General features: G+C 45.0%; 1 long non-coding RNA gene across 3 annotated transcripts in view; it reads right to left on the reverse strand.

Annotated features, from left to right (window-relative positions):
* LOC105371864 (uncharacterized) overlaps nucleotides 1-21,609 on the reverse strand; it is a 22,748-nt gene continuing 1,139 nt past the window's right edge. Inside the window, exons 1-3 of one of the 3 annotated variants that reach the window (XR_007065878.1) lie at nucleotides 15,824-15,939; nucleotides 13,562-13,638; nucleotides 1-591 (exon numbers count right to left, since the gene is read on the reverse strand). This is a non-coding gene — a long non-coding RNA (uncharacterized LOC105371864). Of the gene's footprint in view, nucleotides 592-10,419; nucleotides 10,771-13,561; nucleotides 13,639-15,823; nucleotides 15,940-21,609 lie in introns of those variants that run through there. The other 2 variants (XR_002958120.1, XR_934923.2) reach the window with 2 other exon arrangements.

A 21,609-nucleotide genomic window follows, 5' to 3' on the forward strand; every position in this document is an offset into this window, starting at 1 on the left:
AATCTCAGTTCACTGCAACCTCTGCCTCCCAAGTTCAAGCAATTCTCCTGTCTTAGCCTCCCAAGTAGCTGGGACTACAGGCGCTGCCACCACGCCAGGCTAATTTTTGTATTTTTAGTAAAGACAGGGTTTCACCATGTTGCCCAGGCTGGTCTCGAACTCCTGACCTCAGGTGATCCACCCGCCTTGGCCTCCCAAAGTGCTGGGATCATAGGCGTGAGCCACCGCACCCGGCCACCAGTTGTTTTTAAAATTAATTTTACCCAACATTTTTTGAGTCTTTACTACAGCAGAACCCAAGGCCCTAAGGATTAATATGGCAAGGTCCCTGCCTTCCAACGTGTTGACATCTAGCGAGGAAGAAAAGTGTAACATATTTCTCAGATCATCCTGAGGACCTGGACAGGGGAGGGAGAGGGCTGAGAGCAAGGGATGAGTATGGAAGTTGGTGGAGTCCAGGTTTCAAATTGGAACATCATGGCCACAGCCATTTAAATGTGATCCTGGTGGCCTGCTCAGCCTTCTGCATCTGGAAGCAGGATGTCAGGCTGGATGGAAAGTGCTGCTTTTACATCCTGTTCCAAGGGCTTCCTGGAAAGACAGAAGAAAGAAAAAGAAAGCACAGGCACTTGAGTCCCAGCCCGCTTCTCTCCCTGCAGCAGTGAGTCACCCTGGGAAAGAGTCAGTAGAACCCACTAGAGCATCCTGAAACTTGACTTGTTTGTTTTGACCATGGCATGAGACTGGAATATGTCCTGGGGGCTGGCCTGTGGGAATGGGCACAATAGCTCTACCAGTCTCCTTGACACCCTTCGAGATCGCAAGCACTCCACGGACTCCTGGTGCCTTAGTTGAGCAGGATTTAGTGACTCAATGCCCAGCACTGGAAGCCTGTGGGGTGTTAGGCCCTGAGCTGGGAGCTGGGGATTTGAGCATGCTGAGGATCACTTTCTTGGGGCGGGGGGGCTCAGGTTTACAAATTACTGCATGTCACAGACTTATGGGGTCACCAGAGGCAGTTGGAAGCGTAATTTAAAATCAGTGACTACAGCCAGGCACGGTGGCCCAGGCCTGTAATCCCAGCACTTTGGGAGGCCGAGCCAGGCAGATCACCTGAGGTCAGGAGTTTAAGACTGGCTTGGCCAACATGGTGAAACCCTCTCTCTAATAAACATACAAAAATTAGACGAGCGTGGTGGTGCAAGCCTGTAATCCCAGCTACTCCGGAGGCTGAGGCAGGAGAATTGCTTGAACCCAGGAGGCAGAGGTTGCAGTGAGCTGAGATCGCACCACTGCACTCCAGCCTGGGTGACGGAGCGAGACTCCATTTCAAACAAACAAACAAAACAAAATAAAAAAAAACACCAAAAAATAAAATTGGTGACTGCCACTTTTTTTTCTTTTTTTTATTGCACTGAGAATATGCAGAGCAAGAGCCCAGGAATTTAAGACCAGCCTGGGCAACATAGCAAGAGTCTGTCTCTAAGAAAAAAAGAAAAAGAAAAATAATTGTTGAGTTGTCAGGTCAATGCTGGAGCAAAATCACACAAAGAAGCCTACTCAGTGACTGCCAGGATCCACTTGGCACTCCCAGTAGAGCCCCAGGGGGACTCCACATCCAGTTAGTATTCCAACACCCCCCCACTTCCCAGCGAGGAGGGGCTTGAGCCTCCCCAGATGTATGCATTTCCTGGGGCTGCCATAACAAAGAACCAAAAGCTGAGAGGCTTAAAACAACAGACATTTACTATCTCCCAGTTCTGGAGCCTGGAAGTCTAAATGCAAGGCGTCAGCAGGGCCGTACTCTCTCCGATGGCTCTGGGTTAAGAACGCTTCCTCGTCTCTTCCAGCTTCGGTTGCTGGCCAGCATCCTTGACATCTCTATTCACATGGCTGTCTCCTCTCCGCATCTTCACACTGCCCTCCCCTCTCTATTCACATGGCTGTCTCCTCCCCACATCTTCACACCACCTTCCTTCTGTATTTCTGTGTCCAAATTTCCCTTGTTTACAAGGACACTAATCATATTAGATCAGGGCCCCCGACCTCATTTTTTTTCTTATATATATGTATATATAATGAAAAATAAATATTATAAATCTAATATAATATTTTTATTTTTCTTATATATGTATATATAATGAAAAATAAATATTATAAATCCAATAAACTATAGTCATATTAATATAATATTTAATATATTATAAATATATAGCTTATATAAATGTTTATATTATATTATATAAAAATGTTAAATTTATATATAATACATGATATATAACATTTACATTTATATTTTATATATTATAAAAATATCATATATTAAAATATATTTAAACTATAAATATATATTCAATAAATATGTAACAATATGTACATATATGTGTGTATATATATTTATAAATATAATTGAGATAGTGTCTCACAGTGTTGCCCTGGCTGATCTCAAACTCCTAGGCTGAAGTGATCCTCCTGCCGCAGCCTCCCAAAGTGCTGGGATTACAGGCCTGAGCGGCTGCACCCAGCCCTGAACCTCATTTTAACCTGATTACTTCTGTAAAGACCTTCCTTCCAAATAAGGCCCATTCTGAAGCAGTGGGCGTCAGGACTTCAGCATATCCTTCTGTGAGTGTGGGAGGGGGTCACAATTCAACCCGTAACACCAGTCTTAATAAAACTTTTTTTTTTTTTTTTTTTGAAACGGGGTCACGCTCTGTCCCCCAGGCGCGATCTCGGCTCACTGCAAGCTCCACCTTCCGGGCTCACGCCGTTCTCCTGCCTCAGCCTCCCGAGTAGCTGAGACTACAGGCGCCCACCATCACGCCCGGCTAATTTTTTTGTATTTTTAGTAGAGACTGGTTCACCGTGTTAGCCAGGATGGCCTCGATCTCCTGACCTCGTGATCCGCCTGCCTCGGCCTCCCAAAGTGCTGGGATTACAGGCATGAGCCACCGCACCCGGCCAATAAAACTATTCTTGGCAAGACCTGCAGCAACGTAAAACTGTGGCCAAAAGTATGAACTGTGCAGCTAGAAGGACTTGGTTTGACACCAAATCCAAACCTCTTGCCAGTTTTCTGAACCTGGCACATCACTGCAACCTCGGCCTTCTGGGTGTCCTCTAAGATAAGGACAATAGTGCTTCCCTCATAGTGCTTGTAGAAAGGGGTCACTACTGATATATCTAGCTATCTAGCACCTAGAATGCCAGGATCAATAAATATTTTATTAAATAAATATATATATTTATATCCTTACTTTTTTTTTTTTTAAGAGATAAGATCTCACTCTCTTACCTGGGCTAGAGTGCAGTGGTGTGATTATGGCTTACTGTAGCCCTGTAGCCTCAACCTCTTGGGCTCAAGTGATCCTCCTGTCTCAGCTTCTCGAGTAGCTGGGACTGCAGGTGTGTGATACCCTGCCCAGCTAATTTTTAAATTTTATTGTAGAGGTGGAATCTCACTATGTTGCTGAGCTTAGTCTTGAACTCCTGGCCTCAAGTGAACCTTCTGCCTCAGCCTCCCAAAGCACTAGAATTACAGGTGTGAGCCACCACATCTGGCCTAGTCCTTTCCTTAAGAGGCACTCTATGGGCAGAAAAGACAATACAGACCTAAACAAGAAATTATAATATATCATGATGTCATAAATAATGGAAATACCAACAAAATACAGTAGAAGCAGAAAGGAAGGCCTGGGGGACTTCCCAGAGGAGGCAACATCTGGAGAAGGGTTTTAAAGGTTAAGCAAGAGTTTGGCAGGCATAGGCATGGAGGTGGAAAACAATAGGGCCCCTTCCGGGCATCATAAGCAATCTGGCATTATAGGACTATAAAGCGCAAGAGAAGGAGAGGTGGGAGATGAAGTGGAAAGAGCAAGCAGGAAACAGATCATAAGTGGCTTCAGGTGCTCTTCAAAGAAGCACAGGCTTTATTTGTCTCCTGTGGGTGACGAGGAGGCATTTCAAGGCTTGGAAATATCAATCAAGTCCCAGAAGAAATGGATAACACACTGAATCTGGGCAACCAAGGAGAGTTTAATAAACGGACCATGAATAAAGACTTGAGAAGGGCTGGGCAAGGTGGTTCATGCCTGTAATTCTAACTTTGGAAGGCCAAGGTGGGAGGATTGCTTGAGCCCTGGAGTTCAAGACCAGCCTGGGAAACATAGTGAGACCCTCATCTCTAAAAATTAAAAAGAAACAAAAACAAAAACAAAAAAACTCAGCTGGGTGTTGTGGTACACACCTGTTGTCCCAGCTACTTGGGAGGCTGAGTTGGAAGGATCACTTGAACCCAGGGGTCGAGGCTACGGTGAGCCATGATTGTGCAACTGTACTCTAGCCTGGGCAAGAGTGAGATCCTGTCTCAAAAAAAAAAGTTGGGGGGGTGGTGCGCGGGGGGATTGAGACGTGATTAGGGAAACAACAAAGGGCGGCGCAGTGCCCCAGCAGAACCACAGCAGGGAACTCTTACTGCATCTAGGCTGGAAGCAGCAAGTGAAAAGAGTGAGAACCAGAATCCCGTAGCTGTAGGAGTGGCCACCTCATGGACATGGGCTTTGGTAGAGGAAGGCAGCTACCAATAACCCTAGGAGCTCAGTGGTTAGATGCGCCAACCTCTTCCCACCCTCCAGTCTTCCTGACCCAGTTGGAAGTCCAAGAGCAAAGAAGTCCAGGTGACAGGGTCTATAGAAACCAGCTACTAGGACATCAGGATGGAAGGGTGGAGATGGAGAGGACATCCGGAGAAGCAAAGGAAAGCTGTCCAGCTCAGAGGTCTGCTGGTGGCTTGGCGGAGGCTGGGTGTAGGGAATTGGTGATAGCCTGACAAGAGAAGCTTTGATTCTGAACTCAAGCCTCTGAGAAGGTTTGGAAAGGCAAGGATGGAGCTACAAGAAATTTAGGAGGGAGAATTGACCACATAATTATAGAAGATGAGTGAAAAGGAAGAGCCTGGAAGTCTAGAAGTTTAGGGTTTGGGTAAAGGCATGAGTGTTGATGCTGTCAACTCAGGAAGAGAAATCAAGAGAAAGAGAAGGTTTTCATTTTGCTCAAGGGCATGGAGGCGAAGGTAGGGGAGAGTGTGATGCTAATAAGCTCAGTTTGGGACTTGTTGAGGAGCCAGAGAGACATCCTAATCAAGATGTCCCCAGGCAGTTGGCAATGTAGGTCTACAACTGTACTGTCCAATACAGTAGCCACTAGCCACTTGTAGCTATTGATTTTTTTAATTTTTAATTTTTTTGTTTTCTTTGAGATGGAGTCTTGTTCTGTCTCCCAGGCTGGAATGCAGTGATGCAATCTCGGCTCACTGCAACCTCTGCCTCCCGGGTTCAAGCAATTCTCCTGCCTCAGTCTCCTGAGTAGCCGGGATCACAGGCACCCACCACCGCACCCAGCTAATTTTTGTATTTTTAGTACAGATGAGGTTTCACCAGGTTGGCCAGGGTGGTCTCGAACTCCTGACTTTGTGATCCACCTGCCTCAGCCTCCCAAAGTGTTGGGATTACAGGCTTGAGCCGGCCCTGTAGCTATTAAAATTAAAATTAAATAACATCTAAAACTCAGTTCCTTAAACACACTAGCCACATTCCTTTTCTCTTTCTCTTTTTTTTTAATATATAGAGATGAGGTCTCACTATGTTGCCCAGGCTGGTCTCTACTCCCGGGCTCTCACTTCAACCTCCCAAAGTGCTGGAATTATAGGTGTGAGTCACCATGCCTGGCCATTAACCACATTTTAAGTGCCCAGTAGCCACATGTGGCTAGTGGCTACCATATTGGACAGCCCAATTTATAGAACATTTTCATTATTACAGCAAGGTCTATTGCACAGCACTTGATTAGAAGATTGGAGAGTAGGTAGGGCTGGAAAGGAGAGACTTGGAGGTCATCAACACGTAAGGGTGGTTAACCATGATGGGATGAGTGAGGTCAGCTTGAAGAGCACGAAGAATGAGAAGACAGATGGACTAAGAGTGAACTCTTTCATGTCCTTTGCAGGGACATGGATGAAGCTGGAAACCATCATTCTCAGCAACCTGTCACAAGGACAGAAAACCAAACACCGCTTGTACTCACTCATAGGTGGGAATCGAACAATGAAAACACTTGGACACAGGGTGGGGAACATCACACACTGGGGCCTGTCATGGGGTGGGGGGCTGGAGGAGGTATAGCATTAGGAGAAATACCTAATGTAAATGACAAGTTGATGGGTGCAGCAAACCAACTTGGCACATGTATACCTATGTATCAAACCTGCATGTTGTGCACATGTACCCTAGAACTTAAAGTATTAAAAAAAAAAAAAAAGAGTGAACTCTTGCAGAACACACACATTTACTGGGCAGCTTGAGGAGCCAGCAAAGAAGACCAAGAAACAGCTATCAGATGAAGACTAAGAACTAGAATAGAGTCATGTCCCGGAAACCCAGGAAGAGCCATCAAGAAGGGAGAGGTGAGCAGTGTAAAATGTTGCAGATAGAACAGAAAAGGGGGAGCAGGCACAGTGGCCCTCTTTTGTAGAGCTGCAAATCCCAACACTTTGGGAGGCTGAGGTGACCAGATCACTTGAGCCCAGGAGTTCCAGACCAGCCTGAGCAACAGGGTAAAACCTGATCTCTACAAAAAAATAAACAACAACAACAACAACAACAAACTAGCTGGGAGTGAATGGCACACACCTGTAGTCTCAGCTAACCAGGAGGCAGAGGGAGGATCACCTGAGCCTGGGAGGTTGAGGCTGCAGTGAGCCGTGATCATGCCACTCCAGCCTGGGTGACAGAGTAAGACCCTGACTGGGGAAAAAAAAAAAAAAAAGGAATGCAGGGTGTCTCTTGCAGTTGACATTTGGCAGGACATTTGTGAAGAGAGCAGTTTAAATGAAACAGGGATGGGACCAATTCCAGATTGCCCCAGATTAGGGAGTAGATGGGAGGAGAGCAAGAGACGACCACCCACCAGAAGGGACAGAGAAGGGCCGAAAACAGATAGAGTGGTAGCAAACAGATATAAGTGATAGCTGAGGGCAGGGAAGGGAGGACCACATTTTTTTAAAAGATAGAAAAGGTGGCCGGGCACGGTGGCTCACACCTGTAATCCCAGCACTTTGGGAGGTTGAGGCAGGCGGATCACCTGAGGTCAGGAGTTCGAGAGCAGCCTGGTCAACTTGGTGAAACCCTGTATCTACCAAAAACACAAAAATTAGCCAGGCGTGGTGGCAGGCGCCTGTAGTCCCAGCTACTCGGGAGGCTGAGGCAGGAGAATTACTTGAATCCGGCAGGCAGAGGTTACAGTGAGCCAAGATTGTGCCACTGCACTCCAGTCTGGGCGACAGAGCAAGACTCTGTCTCAAAAATAAATAAATAAATAAATAAATAAATAAATAAAAATAAAGGATAGAAATGGCTTTAGCATATTTATAGATCAAAAGAATAGGGATGGGCAAGGTCAAAAAGGAGACAGGAGGAGAGCACACACAACTGGAGGGGGTGGCCTTGAAGAGGAAAGAGATACATCGCCCTCTAACAGGGGCAGATGAAGATGCATTTGTGGTGGGGGAGGTAGCAGTCAAGGCTGCCAGCTGCTTAGCTTAGCAAATGCATTGTCAGCTGCCAAGAATGAGAGGAGTGGAGGCTTGGTCAGGAGCTTGAGAAGATGGGCTAATGTGTGAGAGCCGCAGAGGGAGCTGCCAAGTTCAAGAGGGGGATGAACAGTTTGGGGACCCCAATTGGACGGTGAGCCTTGGGAGTGTCCTGATGTGATGTCACAGTTACGTTTCGTGAAACGCAACACAGATGGTCCCGTACCTGGGGGACTGGAGGGTGAATCTTCACACCAGGGTGGGAGGACCCGAAGAGTGAAGGAGATGGAATTTGAAACTCCCTGTCTAAAGAAAGAAAGTGGAACTTGTGGAATAGTAAACAAAATCCTTGCAGGTGCTCCCGTTTTCATTTCCTTTGCATATCCTGGCTCAGTCATCTTCCTGCACCCTTGCAGATGTTGCCATTCCCAGGAAAATCAGGGGCAGAGAGCAGCATGGGTGGGAACTGGAAAGTCCCTGCCGTGGAGGGTCTTGGGGGGATGCACCGGCTCCTGCTCCCCCATCTGCTGCTCACGGAAGGAGACGCCTGCCGGAAGCACAAGGAGGGGCTGGGGGTCTGGAAGGCTGAGCTTGAGTCACAGGAACACTAGGGATGCCAAGACCCCTCGGGAGGTCTTGGTGGCTGGTGTCTCTGAGGGCCATCAGCTGGTGTCTCTTTGGCCGAAGCAGCCCAGGCAGGGATTGGGAAAGGTTAGGAGTGTGGACTCCAGAACCAGCCTGCCGAGGGCGAAACTCCAGTGCTGCCACTTACCATTCAAAGCTACAGGACCCAGGCGAGTGATTTAAAGCCTCTGTGACTCAGTTTCCCCAAGTGACTTAAAGCCTCTGTGACTCAGTTTCCCCATCTCTAAAATGTGGATCATAATTGCTGCTTCCTCATAGGGATGTTTTTGTGAGAATTAAATGAATTGAAAGGTGGGGACCCCAAACACCCAGTAAAGGTGGGGTATGATCCTTTAGCTCATGGCTGAGTGCCTGCCACTGGGAATTCAGCTTGGGTTGTCTGAGTCAGAGGGGCCTGGCACTGAACCCCAGCCCTCCACCCAGACCACTCAGGACTCCCTTAAGATCCTAATGGGTGTAGAGTGTGCCTGCCTTTCCTTCCTTCCCTTCCCTTCCTTCTCTTTCTTTCTTTCCTTCCTTCCCCTTCCCCTTCCTGTTCTCCCTTCCCTCCCCCCCTTCCCCTTCCCATTTCCCCTCCCCTCCCCTCCCCTCCCCTTCCCTTCCCTTTCCTTTGCTTCCCTTCCCTTCCCTCTTTCTTTCTTTTCCTTCCTTCCTGAGACAGGGGTCTCAGTATGTTGCCCTGGCTGGTCTCAAACTCCTGAGCTCAAGCAATCCTCATGCCTTGGCCTCCCAAAGTGCTAGGATTACAAACATGAGCCACTATGCCTGTCCTACACTTTTATTTCTGATAAAGGCTAAGTGAAGACCTTAGCTTAGTCTGAGAGCCAAATGGGCCTGCCTAAAGTTAGAGTGGGGTGGACTCTCCCACCTGGTCACAGCCACGCTGGCCCCAGGCGGGGGCTGGCCTAGGGTGGAGTAATGCAGAATAGATGCTGCCTGCAGGAAGCTCAGTGCCTAAGAGGAAAGCCATTCATATTAATATGTTATATATTCATGTATTATATATAAATTTAACGGCCGGGCGCGGTGGCTCACGCCTGTAATCCCAGCACTTTGGGAGGCCAAGGTAGGCGGATCACGAGGTCAAGAGAACGAGACCATCCTGGCCAACACCGTGAAAACCCATTTCTACTAAAAATACAAAAATTAGCTGGGCATAGTGGCGGGTACCTGTAATCACAGCTACTCGGGAGGCTGAGGCAGGAGAATCGCTTGAACCCAGGAGGCGGAGGTTGCAGTGAGCTGAGATCACGCCACTGCATTCCAGCCTGGCAACAGAGTGAGACTCTGTCTCAAAAATAAAATAAAATAAAAAATAAAATAAATAAATTTAACAGTCATATATAATATAATATAAAAATAATATTTATATAAACTATATATTTATAATATATTAAATATTTTATTAATATGAATATAGTTTATATTAGATTTATAATATTTATTTTTCATTACATAGTTCTTCCCAAATGTATTAATCCAGTGAGTCATTCCATCTCTTCTAGGGCCCAGCCAGCAAAGGGGCAAAGCCTCAGCAGTTGTTGCGGGGAGGGCAGACTCAAAGAAGAAAAAGGGAATGGGGAGCAAGCCTTCTCCTAACACTCAGCTACTCCATGTCTCTTATGTCTATTCTACAAACACTTTTATGCTACACTTGGGGCAGGGCGTTGCAACCAGTATAATGGTTCGGCAATGGACTTTGGAGCTGGACTACCCAGGTTTTGAATCTGACCTTCGCTACTTCCCAGTTCTGTGCCAAGTCCACACCTACCTCCAGATTCTCACCTGAACAATGAGGAGGCTATCACCATATCCCCCTCAGGGGCTGGTCATGAAGATTAAATGAGTGGTCTTTAAATGAATGTTTTACAGATAGACTCTATGAGTGTTTGTTATTACCCTTGCTATTAAATGAAAGGCCTTGAGGGCTTTTTTGTTCCTTTGTTTTGCTTTTTGTTTTTTGAGATAGGGTCTCACTCTGTTGCTCAGGCTGGAATGTAGTGGCGTGATCTTGACTCACTGCAGCCTTGACTTCCTGAGCTCAAGTGATCCTCCCACCTCAGCCTCCCAAAAAGCAGGGACCACAGGTGTGTACCACCACAACTGGCTAATTGTGTTTATTTATTTTTTGTAGAGATGGGGGTGTCTCACTATGTTGCCCAGGCTGGTCTCGAACTCCTGGGCTCAAGTGATCCTCCTGCTTTAGCCCCACAAAGTGCTGGGATTACAGGCATAAGCCACCACACCCAGCCCATGAGGCTCGCTGCAGCCTTTCTTTTGAAGAGGGAAAAAGCAAATTTCCAGCTCTCCAGAAAGAAAAAGGACCTCATGCCACCTTAAGTAAAGGAATTTAAATGACGTGTCTGTGCCTCCATGGACAGTGGACAGCTGAGCTTCTTCAGGGCTGGAACCCAGCAGGCAGAAACGGAGGCTCCTGGGGCTGTGTGGTTCCCCATCTCTGGCCTCTGCATTTCTCTCTGAATCTTATTCTTTTGTATATTGATGGAGGAACTGCTGTATCCTAGGTATGGAGCCAAGTGCTGGGAAGAGAGAGTGAATAATAAAATCTCTGCCCTGAAGGCACTGACAAGCCAATGAGCAAGACAGACACTATGGAGAATCACATAAAAATCATCCGTGTTGCAGCATGGGTCAGAATTTTCTTCCTTTTGAAGGGTGAACGATGTTCCACTGCATGTATATAACATGTTGTTTGTCTAGTCATCCATTGATGGGTACTTGGGTTGCTTCTGCCTTTGGGCTATTGTGAATCATGGTGCTATGAACATGGGTATACATTTAACCTTTTCCTTTTACAAGTGAAAAAAAAAAGTACAGTTAAGGAAAATGGACTAAAAAGAGGCATAATAGAAGGATCTAACCTAATAGGGGGAGAGAGGGAAGGTTTTCCCTTGAGGAAGTTCTATTTTGGCTGGAGCCCAAAGGATGAGAAGTTAGCTGGGTAAAAGGTAAGTGAAGAATAGTTTTGGCCACACGTAAGAGCCTCGAGGCAAAAAGAAGCTTAGATTGTTCCAGAAATGGAAAGGGAGCAGTGTGACTGGGGCACAGAAATCCTTAGAGAGAGGGGCATGGGGGGGATCCTTGGGGTGGGCAGCATCCAGATTGAGGGATCATTCAGGACTCATTACAAATGGGCTGTTTTCTAAGAGCTGTGGTAGACAACTGAAGCCCTCTAAGCAGAAAAGTGGAATGTCTAAACATAGAGTTAAAAAAAAAAGTTGCTCCGGCCACAGTGGAGGAATGAATTGGAAGCTAGAAGGAGGTGTGGGGCAGGAGCAAATGCGGGAAGACCAATAAGGCACCATGGGAGTTGCCCAGGCAAGAGATACTGGTAGGGTGGGTGGCAGTGAAGATGACTGAAATTGATGTATTAAAGAAACATTAAGGAGACAGAGTTGGTTAATTTAATGATTGATTGGCTCTCAGGAGTAAGGGAGAAAGGGGTATCTGGTTGAATCCCAGGTCTTTGCGCTGAGCAAGTGAGTAGGTGTTGGTATTATCTGCTGTGATAGGAAACAGTTAAGGAGACATGGGCTGTAGGTGCATAGAAATTATTCACTCGGTTTTGGATATCACAAAGTTGAGATCCCAAATGACATGAGAGGTTATGGTGTTGCTGGGTAGACAGCATTGGACACCCATGGCTTTCAGAAAAGAGGTCTTGTGTGACATGAGATACAGCTGGAAAGGTAGACTGGGCCATGTTTAAGATAATAATAGCACGCCTGTAATTCCAGCACTTTAGGAAGCCAAAGTGGGCAGTTGCTTGAGCTCAAGAGTTCAAGACCAGTCTGGGGCAACATGGAAAATCCCCATCTCTACAAAAAATACAAAAATTAGCCAGGCATGGTGGCACGCTCCTGTAGTCCCAGCTACTTGAGAGGCTGAGGCGAGAGGATCACTTGAGCCTGGGAGTGGAGGTTGCAGTGAGCTGAGATAGCACTACTGCACTTTAGCCTGGGCAACAGAGCAAGACCCTATTGCAAAAAGAAAGAAAGAAAGAAAAAGATAACAGTAGCCAACATTCACCAAATCATCAATATATGACAGATAATATCATTTTTCATTTATAGATGAGGATGTTGAAACATGGAGAGGCTGTGAAATTTACCCAAAGTCAAACAACTCATAAGTGGCAGTGCTGGGAATATAAACCCTGACAGTCTGGTTATTATGTCTCCTGTTGAACCGTTCTGTGATCCTGGAATGCTAGAAGAGCAGGTCTGCCCAGCCTAACCTTTTCCTTTTATAAGTGAAAAAAAAATCATCAAGGATAAGTTACTTGCCCAAGATCACCCCAGCTATTAATAGTTATGGCAGACATGAGGCTATAATCCAAGTCTTCTGACTCTCAGCACATCCCTTTCTACCATACATTCAATTTCACATCTTTTACACTTCTTTTCCCAGATTCATTGTTTTTAGAGATGGAGTCTTGCTCTGTTGTCCAGGTTGGAGTACAGTGGCAAGGTCATAGCTCACTGCAGATTTTAACTCCTGAGCTTGAGTGATCCTCCTGTCTGCCTTCTGAGTACCTGGGACTGCAGATGTGAGCCACCATGCCTTGTGTAGATATTATTACATTTGTAAAAATTTGTGTTTCTTTGTTTTCTAAATTTTCAGTAGGGGACATGTATAATATTCATAGTGGGGAAAAAGAGACTTGCAAAAGCAGAGACATCAATATTATTAAACAGAATTCATCTGACTTTGGTCTAAAGGAGGCATGTGGGGTATCAGAAGACAGGATGGTGTTGCCATATTTGTCTTTGATAATTTCTAGCAAGTGTTTCTGGGAAATTTCTATCATTGCAGGAACTCCATTCCTTAGGATGGAAAGGAGGAAACATCTCTTATTGTAGGGTAGCATATGGAGGAGGTGACCAGGAGGTCTGTCTTAGGGCAAATCGTTCTCCATGAAATCCCTAAAACCCACTCTCCTCCCCACTCCTCCCTTCCTCGCCTGCTCACTGGCCCACCTTGCCTGGAAATGATGGAGGTGCAGGGAGAAGAACAGAGTTCCAGGCTTGCGGGAACAAGACACCCTTTTACTGTCAAGCAAAGCCAATTGATTTAGATGGAGAGAGGTGCTCTAAGCAAAGTGTTTACATTTTCAAACAAAGATGCAAAAGAATGTAAGGATAAGAAGGCGCAAGGTTATCAAAGCTGACTACACTTCCTCAGACTGTTCTCCCTCTAGCAGATGTCTTGGACCAATGTAAAACAATGTAGATTCAAAAAATCAGTTTGATATAGTTACTTATCTTGAAAACTGTTGAGATTGCTCCTTTTCGCCCTTTTTTTACCTACCTTGTCCAATTCATCAAGCTGTCTTCCACTTATTATTCAAACAGGATATATTTAGTTTATTTATATCCCAAGTCATTCTAAAAAAAAAAAAAGTTGTTGTGGCTTACCAATAGATAAAAGCCCAGATAATAAAAGCCAATTGTATAGGAATCAAAATAGGAAAAGAGTGGAGAAAATACTAGAAATCAAATGTTTATTCCAAGGGAGCCTGATGGCAGATCTGAAGTGATCTGATGATCAAGATGAAAAAAGAAACATGATATACATCTCTCTTGAGCAGAGAAACATTTTGAGTTTTTTTAAGGAAAATTAAGTTTTTCTTGGTACAAAACTTTGAAAGAAATTTCTCCTATTATACATGGTAGAGAGATAGAATGGGTAATTCTTTGACAAAAGTGTTTGAATCTGATTTGGTATCAAATCACAATTTTTTTTTTCAAAGAGAAATTCACACAACTAATTCTTTTTTTTTTTTTTTTTTGAGATGGAGTCTCACTCTGTGTGTTGCCCAGGCTGGAGTGCAGTGGTGCGATCTCGGCTCACTGCAACCTCTGCCTCCCAGGTTCAAGCGATTCTCCCACCTCAGCCTCCCCAGTAGCTGGGATTACAGCCACTGCGCCCAGCTAATTTTTTTGTATTTTTAGTACAGACTGGGTTTCACCATGTTGGCCAAGCTGGTCTCAAACTCCTCACCTCAAGTGATCTGCCTGCCTCAGCCTCCCAAAGGGCTGGGATTACAGGTGCCAGCCACTGCACCAGGCACAACTAATTCTTATAATGATTTTAGATAACAGTGGGAAACTGTAACACTGAACTTTAGCCCAGAGATGCTGATTCACAGTGGAGATTTGATCAGTTCTTGAAAGCACGATAGCTTACGCTTAGGTTGGCAAGAACTTTTGGAAGCAAATCCTATTTTCTAACGTGTTAGTCATTCTTTCCATTTGCATCTTTGTTTGCAAATGTAAACAGTGTGTCATCAATGTTGTTATCTAAATCATTTTAATTTTTAACAGGAGGCAGTTTTGGGTGAATCCTGTGACATGCTTCTAGAGACCTATCTCTACCCCTGTGATGATGATTAACAGGAGGAATTGGGGTTATGGTCATTCAGATACAAATCACTTAACTTAGCTCTCATCTGGTACATGTATTTATTTATGTTGTGTCTCTGTGTCTCTTTTCTTTTTGAGACGGAGTCTTGCTCTGTCGCCCAGGCTGGAGGGCAGTGGCATGATCTTGGCTCACTCTAAGCTCCGCTCCCCCAGGTTCACTCCATTCTCCTGCCTCAGCCTCCCAAGTAGCTGAGACTACAGGCGCCCGCCACCACTCCCGGCTAATTTTGTTTTTGTACTTTTAGTAGAGACGGGGTTTCACCGTGTTAGTCAGGATGGTCTCAATCTCCTGACCTCGTGATCCACCCACCTCGGCCTCTTAAAGTGCTGGGATTACAGGCATGAGCCACCGCGCCCAGCCGTTGTGTCTCTTTTCACAAGTGAGTCAACAAGGCATTTAGGAGATGCATGAAATAAAATGATAAAGTATAAATTAAAAATCGGTACAAGAAAAACAAATTAAATATGGAGTCAAGACCAGGGTGGATATAGGGTGAGGTTGGAGAGAATGAAGATATAAAGGCAATAAACTTCTACTATTGCTTCAAGTTGGCTGCAAATTGGCTTTGGGCTTCCTAGAGGGAAGGGGGCAAAGTTCACTTTTTCCCCTCTGGTCTGAAAATGGTGAAGCCCCATCTCTACTAAAAATACAAAAATTAGCCGGGTGTGGTGGCACACGTCTGTAATCCCAGCTACTTGGAGGCTGAGGGAGGAGAATCGCTTGAACCCAGGAGGCAGAGGTTGCAGTGAGCCAAGATCGCGCCCACTGCACTCCGGTCTGGGCGACAGAGCAAGACTCCATCTCAAAAAAAAAAAAAAAAAAAAAAGTCCCATTGAAACATAACTGTACTATTCTTCTAGTCTGTAGCCTGTTACCATCATGAAAAACTAAGTTACTCTTTTTCACCCAGCCCCCAGTGGCTTTCCCTTCTGTGTTGGCTCCTTTTTTTTTTTTTTTTTTTTTTTGAGACGGAGTCTCGCTGTCGCCCAGGCTGCAGTGCAGTGGCGCGATCTCGGCTCACTGCAGGCCCCGCCCCCCGGGGTTCAAGCCATTCTCCTGCCTCAGCCTCCGGCGTAGCTGGGACTACAGGTGCCCGCCACCTCGCCCTGCTAATTTTTTGTATTTTTGGTAGAGACGGGGTTTCACCGTGTTAGCCAGGATGGTCTTGATCTCCTGATCTCGTGATCCACCCGCCTCGGCCTCCCAAAGTGCTGGGATTACAGGGGTGAGCCACGGCGCCTGGCCTCCTTCTGTGTTGATTCCTAAAGAAAAGGGGTTTAATTGGCTCATAATTCTGCAGGCTGTACAGGAAGCATGGTGCCAGAATCCCCTTCAATTCTGGGGAGGCCTCAGGGAGCTTTCACTCATGGCTGAAGGCGAAGCAGGAGCAGATATGTCACATGGTGAGAGAGGGAGCCAGAGAGAAGGGAGAGGTTCTAGACACTTTTAAACAACCAGATCTCACGTGAAGTAACTGAAGGAGAACTCACTTACCACCAGGGGGACGGTGCTAAGTCATCCTTGAGAAATCTGCCCCCATGATCCAATATTTGCCACCATGGCTACCTCCAACGTTGGGGATCACGTTTCAGCATGAGATTTGGAGGGGACACGCATCCACACCACATCAACTTCCATTTCTAAGAGCTCTCGGGGCATCTCTGCAGTGCTCTGTGCTTCTGTTCCATTCTGGAACAGAACATTCTGCTTCTGTTTCTACTCTGGGCTTTCACGGCCTGCTCAGCGTTCACTTCCCTCATAATTTTGCTCTCATGTGGCTTTGCCTCACCATGGGTCTGATTCCACCCTTTTCAAATTTGTCCACCTCTACCAACTGGCTCAACTGGCTACTTCCAAGAGTGATCATATAGTTGATTGGTCCAGGTCATCCTTTTTTTTTTTTTCTTTTCTTTTGCAGGGTCTCTCCCCATCATCCAGGCTGGAATGCAGCGGTGCAATGACAGCTCATTGCAGCCTTGACCTCCCGAATTCAAGTGATCCTCCCACCTCATCCTCCTGAGTAGCTGAGATTACAGGCATGCACCACCACACCTGGCTAATTTTTAAAATTTTTTTTTGCAGAGACAGAGTCTCACTGCGTTGCCCAAGCTCAGGTCATCCTTTTATACCTGGCTGTGTTACAGGTTGATAGCCAGTCTATGAGTCAAGTCCCATGGTCCAAAATGGAAGCTAAGGGATTGGGTGGGAATGTGAAGGGAGCTGTGGATGAAACCAGTTTCTTTGCAATGAAGTTTAAGGATGGCAAGACATCATCTGTTCATCTGGGAGAGGGATTGAGCAGGAGCATGGGAAAACCCGTTGCCCTCTTGCCTCTATTGCAAATAAATGCTTTTGTCTTTCTGAAAAACTTTTCTTCTGAGTTGCTTAAGTCATTCTATTTGGAAGTATGTTAGAGGCTTTGGGGAGCTCTGCACTAAAAAATACCCCCCGCTTTTTTTTTGAGACAGAATTTTGCTCTTGTTGCCCAGGCTGGAGTGCAATGGCATGATCTTGCCTCACTCTGCCTCCCAGGTTCAAGCTATTCTCCTGCCTTAGTCTCCCGAGTAGCTGGGATTACAGGCACCTGCCATGTCCAGCTAATTTTTGTATTTTTAGTAGAGACAGGGTTTCACCATGTTGCCCAGGCTGGTCTCGAACTCCCAACCTCAGGTGATCTACCTACTTCGGCCTCCCAAAGTGTTGGGATTACAGGCGTGAGCCACCGTGTCCGGCAATAATCCTTTTTAAATGTATTAAACACATAGACTTCTGAATGTGTGTGGCTATAATACACCCCCCTGTACCCCATTTCTTATATTTCTTTATTTACATCAGCTGTTAGTAGCTAACATGCTATTGCTTTTACATCTTGCTACTCAGATTGAAGTTGGCTTGGGCATCACCTAGCAGCCTGTTAGAAGTGCAGAATCTCAGCCTCACCCCAGAACTACTGCATCAGAAACTGTACTTAATATATTTATTTACTAAATTTAAAAAGTTTTAATTATTTTAAAATAGCTAAATTAATTAATTTAATACATTTATAAATTTAAACTAATAAAGTTAATTAATTAAATTAGAAATTTACAACTTATACAAAAATTAACTCAAGATGGATTAAATACTTAAATGTAAAACCCAAAATCATAAAAACCCTAGAAGAAAACCTAGGCAATACCACTCAAGACGTAGGCAAGGGCAAAGACTTCATCACAAAAATGCCAAAAGTAATTGCAACAAAAGCCAAAATTGACAAATGAGGTCTAATTAAACTAAAGAGCTCTGCATGGCAAAATAAATTATCAGAGTGAACAGGCTACCTATAGAATGGGAGAAAATTTTTGCAATTCACCTGTCTGACAAAGGTCTAAATCCAGAATTTACAAGGAACTTCAACAAATTTACAGGAAGAAAATAAACAACCCCATCGAAAAGTGGGCAAAGAATATGAATAGACACTTCTCAAAAGAAGACATTTATGTGGCCAACAAACATGAAAAAAAGCTCATTATCACTGATCATCAGAGAAATGCAAATCAAAACCACAATGAGATACCATCTCATGCCAGTCAGAATGGCAATTATTAAAAAGTCAGGAAACAATAGATGCTGATGAGGCTGTGGAGAAATAGGAACTCTTTTACGCTGTTGGTGGGACTGTAAATTAGTTCAACCATTGTGGAAGACAGTATGGCAATTCCTCAAGGATCTAGAACCAGAAATACCATTTAATCCAGCAATACCATTACTGGGTACATACCCAAAGGAATATAAATCATTCTACTATAAAGACATATGCACACATATGTTCATTGCAGCACTATTTATAATAGCGAAGACATGGAACCAACCCAAATGCCCATCAGTGACAGACTGGATGAAGAAAATATGGCACATATACACCATGGAATACTATGCAGCCACAAAAAGGAATGAGATCATGTCATAGCAGGGACATGGATGAAACTGGAAGCCAGTATCCTCAGCAAACTAACACAGGAATAGAAAACCAAATACCACATGTTCTCACTCATAAGTGGGAGTTGAACAATGAGAGCACATGGACACAGAGAGGTAAATATCACACACCGGGGCCTGTTGGGGAGTGGGGGGTGAGGGGAGGGAACTCAGAGGATGGATCAATCGGTGAAGCAAACCACCATGGCACACATATACCTATGTAACAAGTCTGCATGTTCTGCACACGTATCCTGTTTTTTTTTTTTTTTTTAGAAGAAGAAAAAAAAAATAGGGATGAGGTGTTCATCTGGCTTGAGACCAGCCATGTTGCCCAGGCTGGTCTCAAACTCTTGGGCTCAAGCAATCCTCCCAGCTCAGCCTCCCAAAGTGCTGGGATTACAGGCGCGAGTCACCATGTGCAGCCTATTTATTTTTGAGAGAGGTTCTTGCTCTGTCACCGAGGCTGGAGTGCAGTGGCTTGATAATTGCTCACTGCAAACTCAAGCTCCTGGGTACAAGCTATCTTCTCACCTCAACCTCCTGAGTAGCTAGGACTACAGGCACACACCACAGCATCTAGCTCCTATTTTTATTTTTTGTAGAAATGGAGGTCTCACTTTGTTGCCCAGGCTGATCTTGCACTCCTGGCCTCAAGCAATCCTCCCGTCTCAGCCTCCCAAAATGCTGGGAATACATGCATGAGTCACTGCACCTAGCCTATTTATTTATTTTTGAGACAGAGTCTTGCTCTGTTGCCCAGGCTACAGTGCAGTGGTATGATTATAGCTCATTACAACCTCAAACTCCTGGTCACAAGAGATCTTCTCACCTCAGCCTACTGAATAGCTAGGACTACAGACGCACACCACAGCATGCAACTCATATTTTTATTTTTTTCATAGAAAGGGAGGTCTCACTTTGTTGCCCAGGCTGATCTTGAATTTCCAGCCTCAAGTGATCCTCCTGCCTCAGCATCCCAAAATGCTAGGATTACAGGCGTGAGCCACTGTGCCCGGCCAGAATCTGCACTTTAACAAGATCCTCAGGAGACTAACATTTGCATTAAATGTTGAGAAGCATTGATCTTAGAGCAAACTTGGGAAACACTGAACAAGTCTGATCAGTGAATGTGGCTCGGAGAAGTAATGTGCCTTGTCTAAGCTCCCTAATTAGCCAGTAGTAGATCTGGGATTAGAATCCAAGTGTCACGAGTCCTAGTCATATTAACTTTCCAGCACAACATGGGTGTCTCCCTCATCTAGAAAACAAGGAGGCCTGATTTGGTCATTGTTAGAGAAGGAAATTAGCATGTGATTGGGGTGACCACATAAGTTATCATCAAAACATAGTTGCTTTTTTGTTTTATTTTATTTTATTTTAACTATAAAATAATTTTCTTTACTAGAGACAGGGTCTTACTATGTTGCCCGGCTAGTCTTGAACACCTTGGCTCAAGCGATCTACCTGTCTTGACCTCCTAAAGTGCTGGGATGACAGGCATGAGCCACTGTACCCAGCCTAAACATAGTCACTTCTGAGAGTGCAAGAGGGCACCATTAGCTATTTCAGGACAATAAATGCAACCTGACATAAGTGGTCACTCTATATACCTAAAGATATTTCTAGTTTACAGGGCCCCTTCATATTTGTTAACTAAACTGCATAAATATCTGATGACAAAATAATTTTAAAGTTCTAACTTTTATTTATGTGTTTATATTTATTTTTGAGACAGGATCTCACTCTGTCACCCAGGCTGGAGTGCACTGGCACTATTTTGGCTCACCATGGTCTCTGCCTCCCAGGCTCAAGTGATTCTCCTGCCTCAGCCTCCCAAGTAGCTGGAATTACAGGCATGCACCACTACTGCCCAGCTAATTTTTGTATTTTTAGTAGAGATGGGGTTTCACTATGTTGGCTAGGCTGGTCTTGAACTCTTGACCTCAAATGATCCAACTGCTTCGGCCTCCCAAGGCACTGAGATTACAGGCATGAGCCATCATGTCCAACCTAAAGTTCTAACTTTCAAGTAAAACCTGGTTCTCAAGGAAAAATAATACATGTATCTCATTATAATAATAATAAAAAAATTAACCTCATTAAGAATAAAAGAAGCTGGGCGCAGTGGCTCACGCCTGTAATTCCAGCACTTTGGGAGGCCGAGGCGGGCAGATCATGAGGTCAGGAGATCAAGACCATCCTGGTTAACAGGCTGAAACCCCGTCTCTACTAAAAATACAAACAATTAGCTAGGTGTGGTGGTGGGCGCCTGTAGTTCCAGCTACTTGGGAGGCTGAGGCAGGGGAATGGCATGAACCCGTGAGGCAGAGCTTGCAGTGAACCGAGATCACGCCACTGCAATCCAGCCTGGGCTGCAGAGCGAGACTCCGTCTCAAAAAAAAAAAAAAAAAAGAATAAAAGAAAAAAGAGAGAGAAAGCCCAAATTAGCAAAATAAGAGAATATGGGAACCAATCACAGATACATACAAAGTTGAAATGATTTTGAAATTGCTTTGCTGAACCCATTCAACTAAATTTGAAAACCTGGTTTCCACGTTGTCATTCACCATGGCTGTGGCCAAGCTAGGGCTGGAAGCTACATCTCATGGCTTTCTGCCTAGTAATTTCCCTGTGAGTCAACCAGACTTCAGAGTCTCATTTCTGAAACTTTTATTCCAGTACTCTAACCTAGAGCTAAGATGTCTTTGTAGCTTGGTGGGAACGCGGCTCTTCCATGGGAATGAGACACAGATGATCTGAAGACATATCTCCTGAGCATACCTCTTATGATAAATGCCCACATGCCTCCATCTGACATCAGCTTTGTCTGCCATGCTCAGGCCACCTGGCTCTAGAAATAAAAGATGGGAACGTCCCTGATCCTGAATGTTAAACCTGGAAAATCTCCTCCTGCCAGAGATGTAGCTAGCATTCCATATTTAAACTATCTTTAAAGATTTTAATGTTGACAA

This window comes from Homo sapiens, chromosome 17 (genome assembly GCF_000001405.40).
Source record: "Homo sapiens chromosome 17, GRCh38.p14 Primary Assembly".
Taxonomy (NCBI): Eukaryota; Metazoa; Chordata; class Mammalia; order Primates; family Hominidae; genus Homo; species Homo sapiens.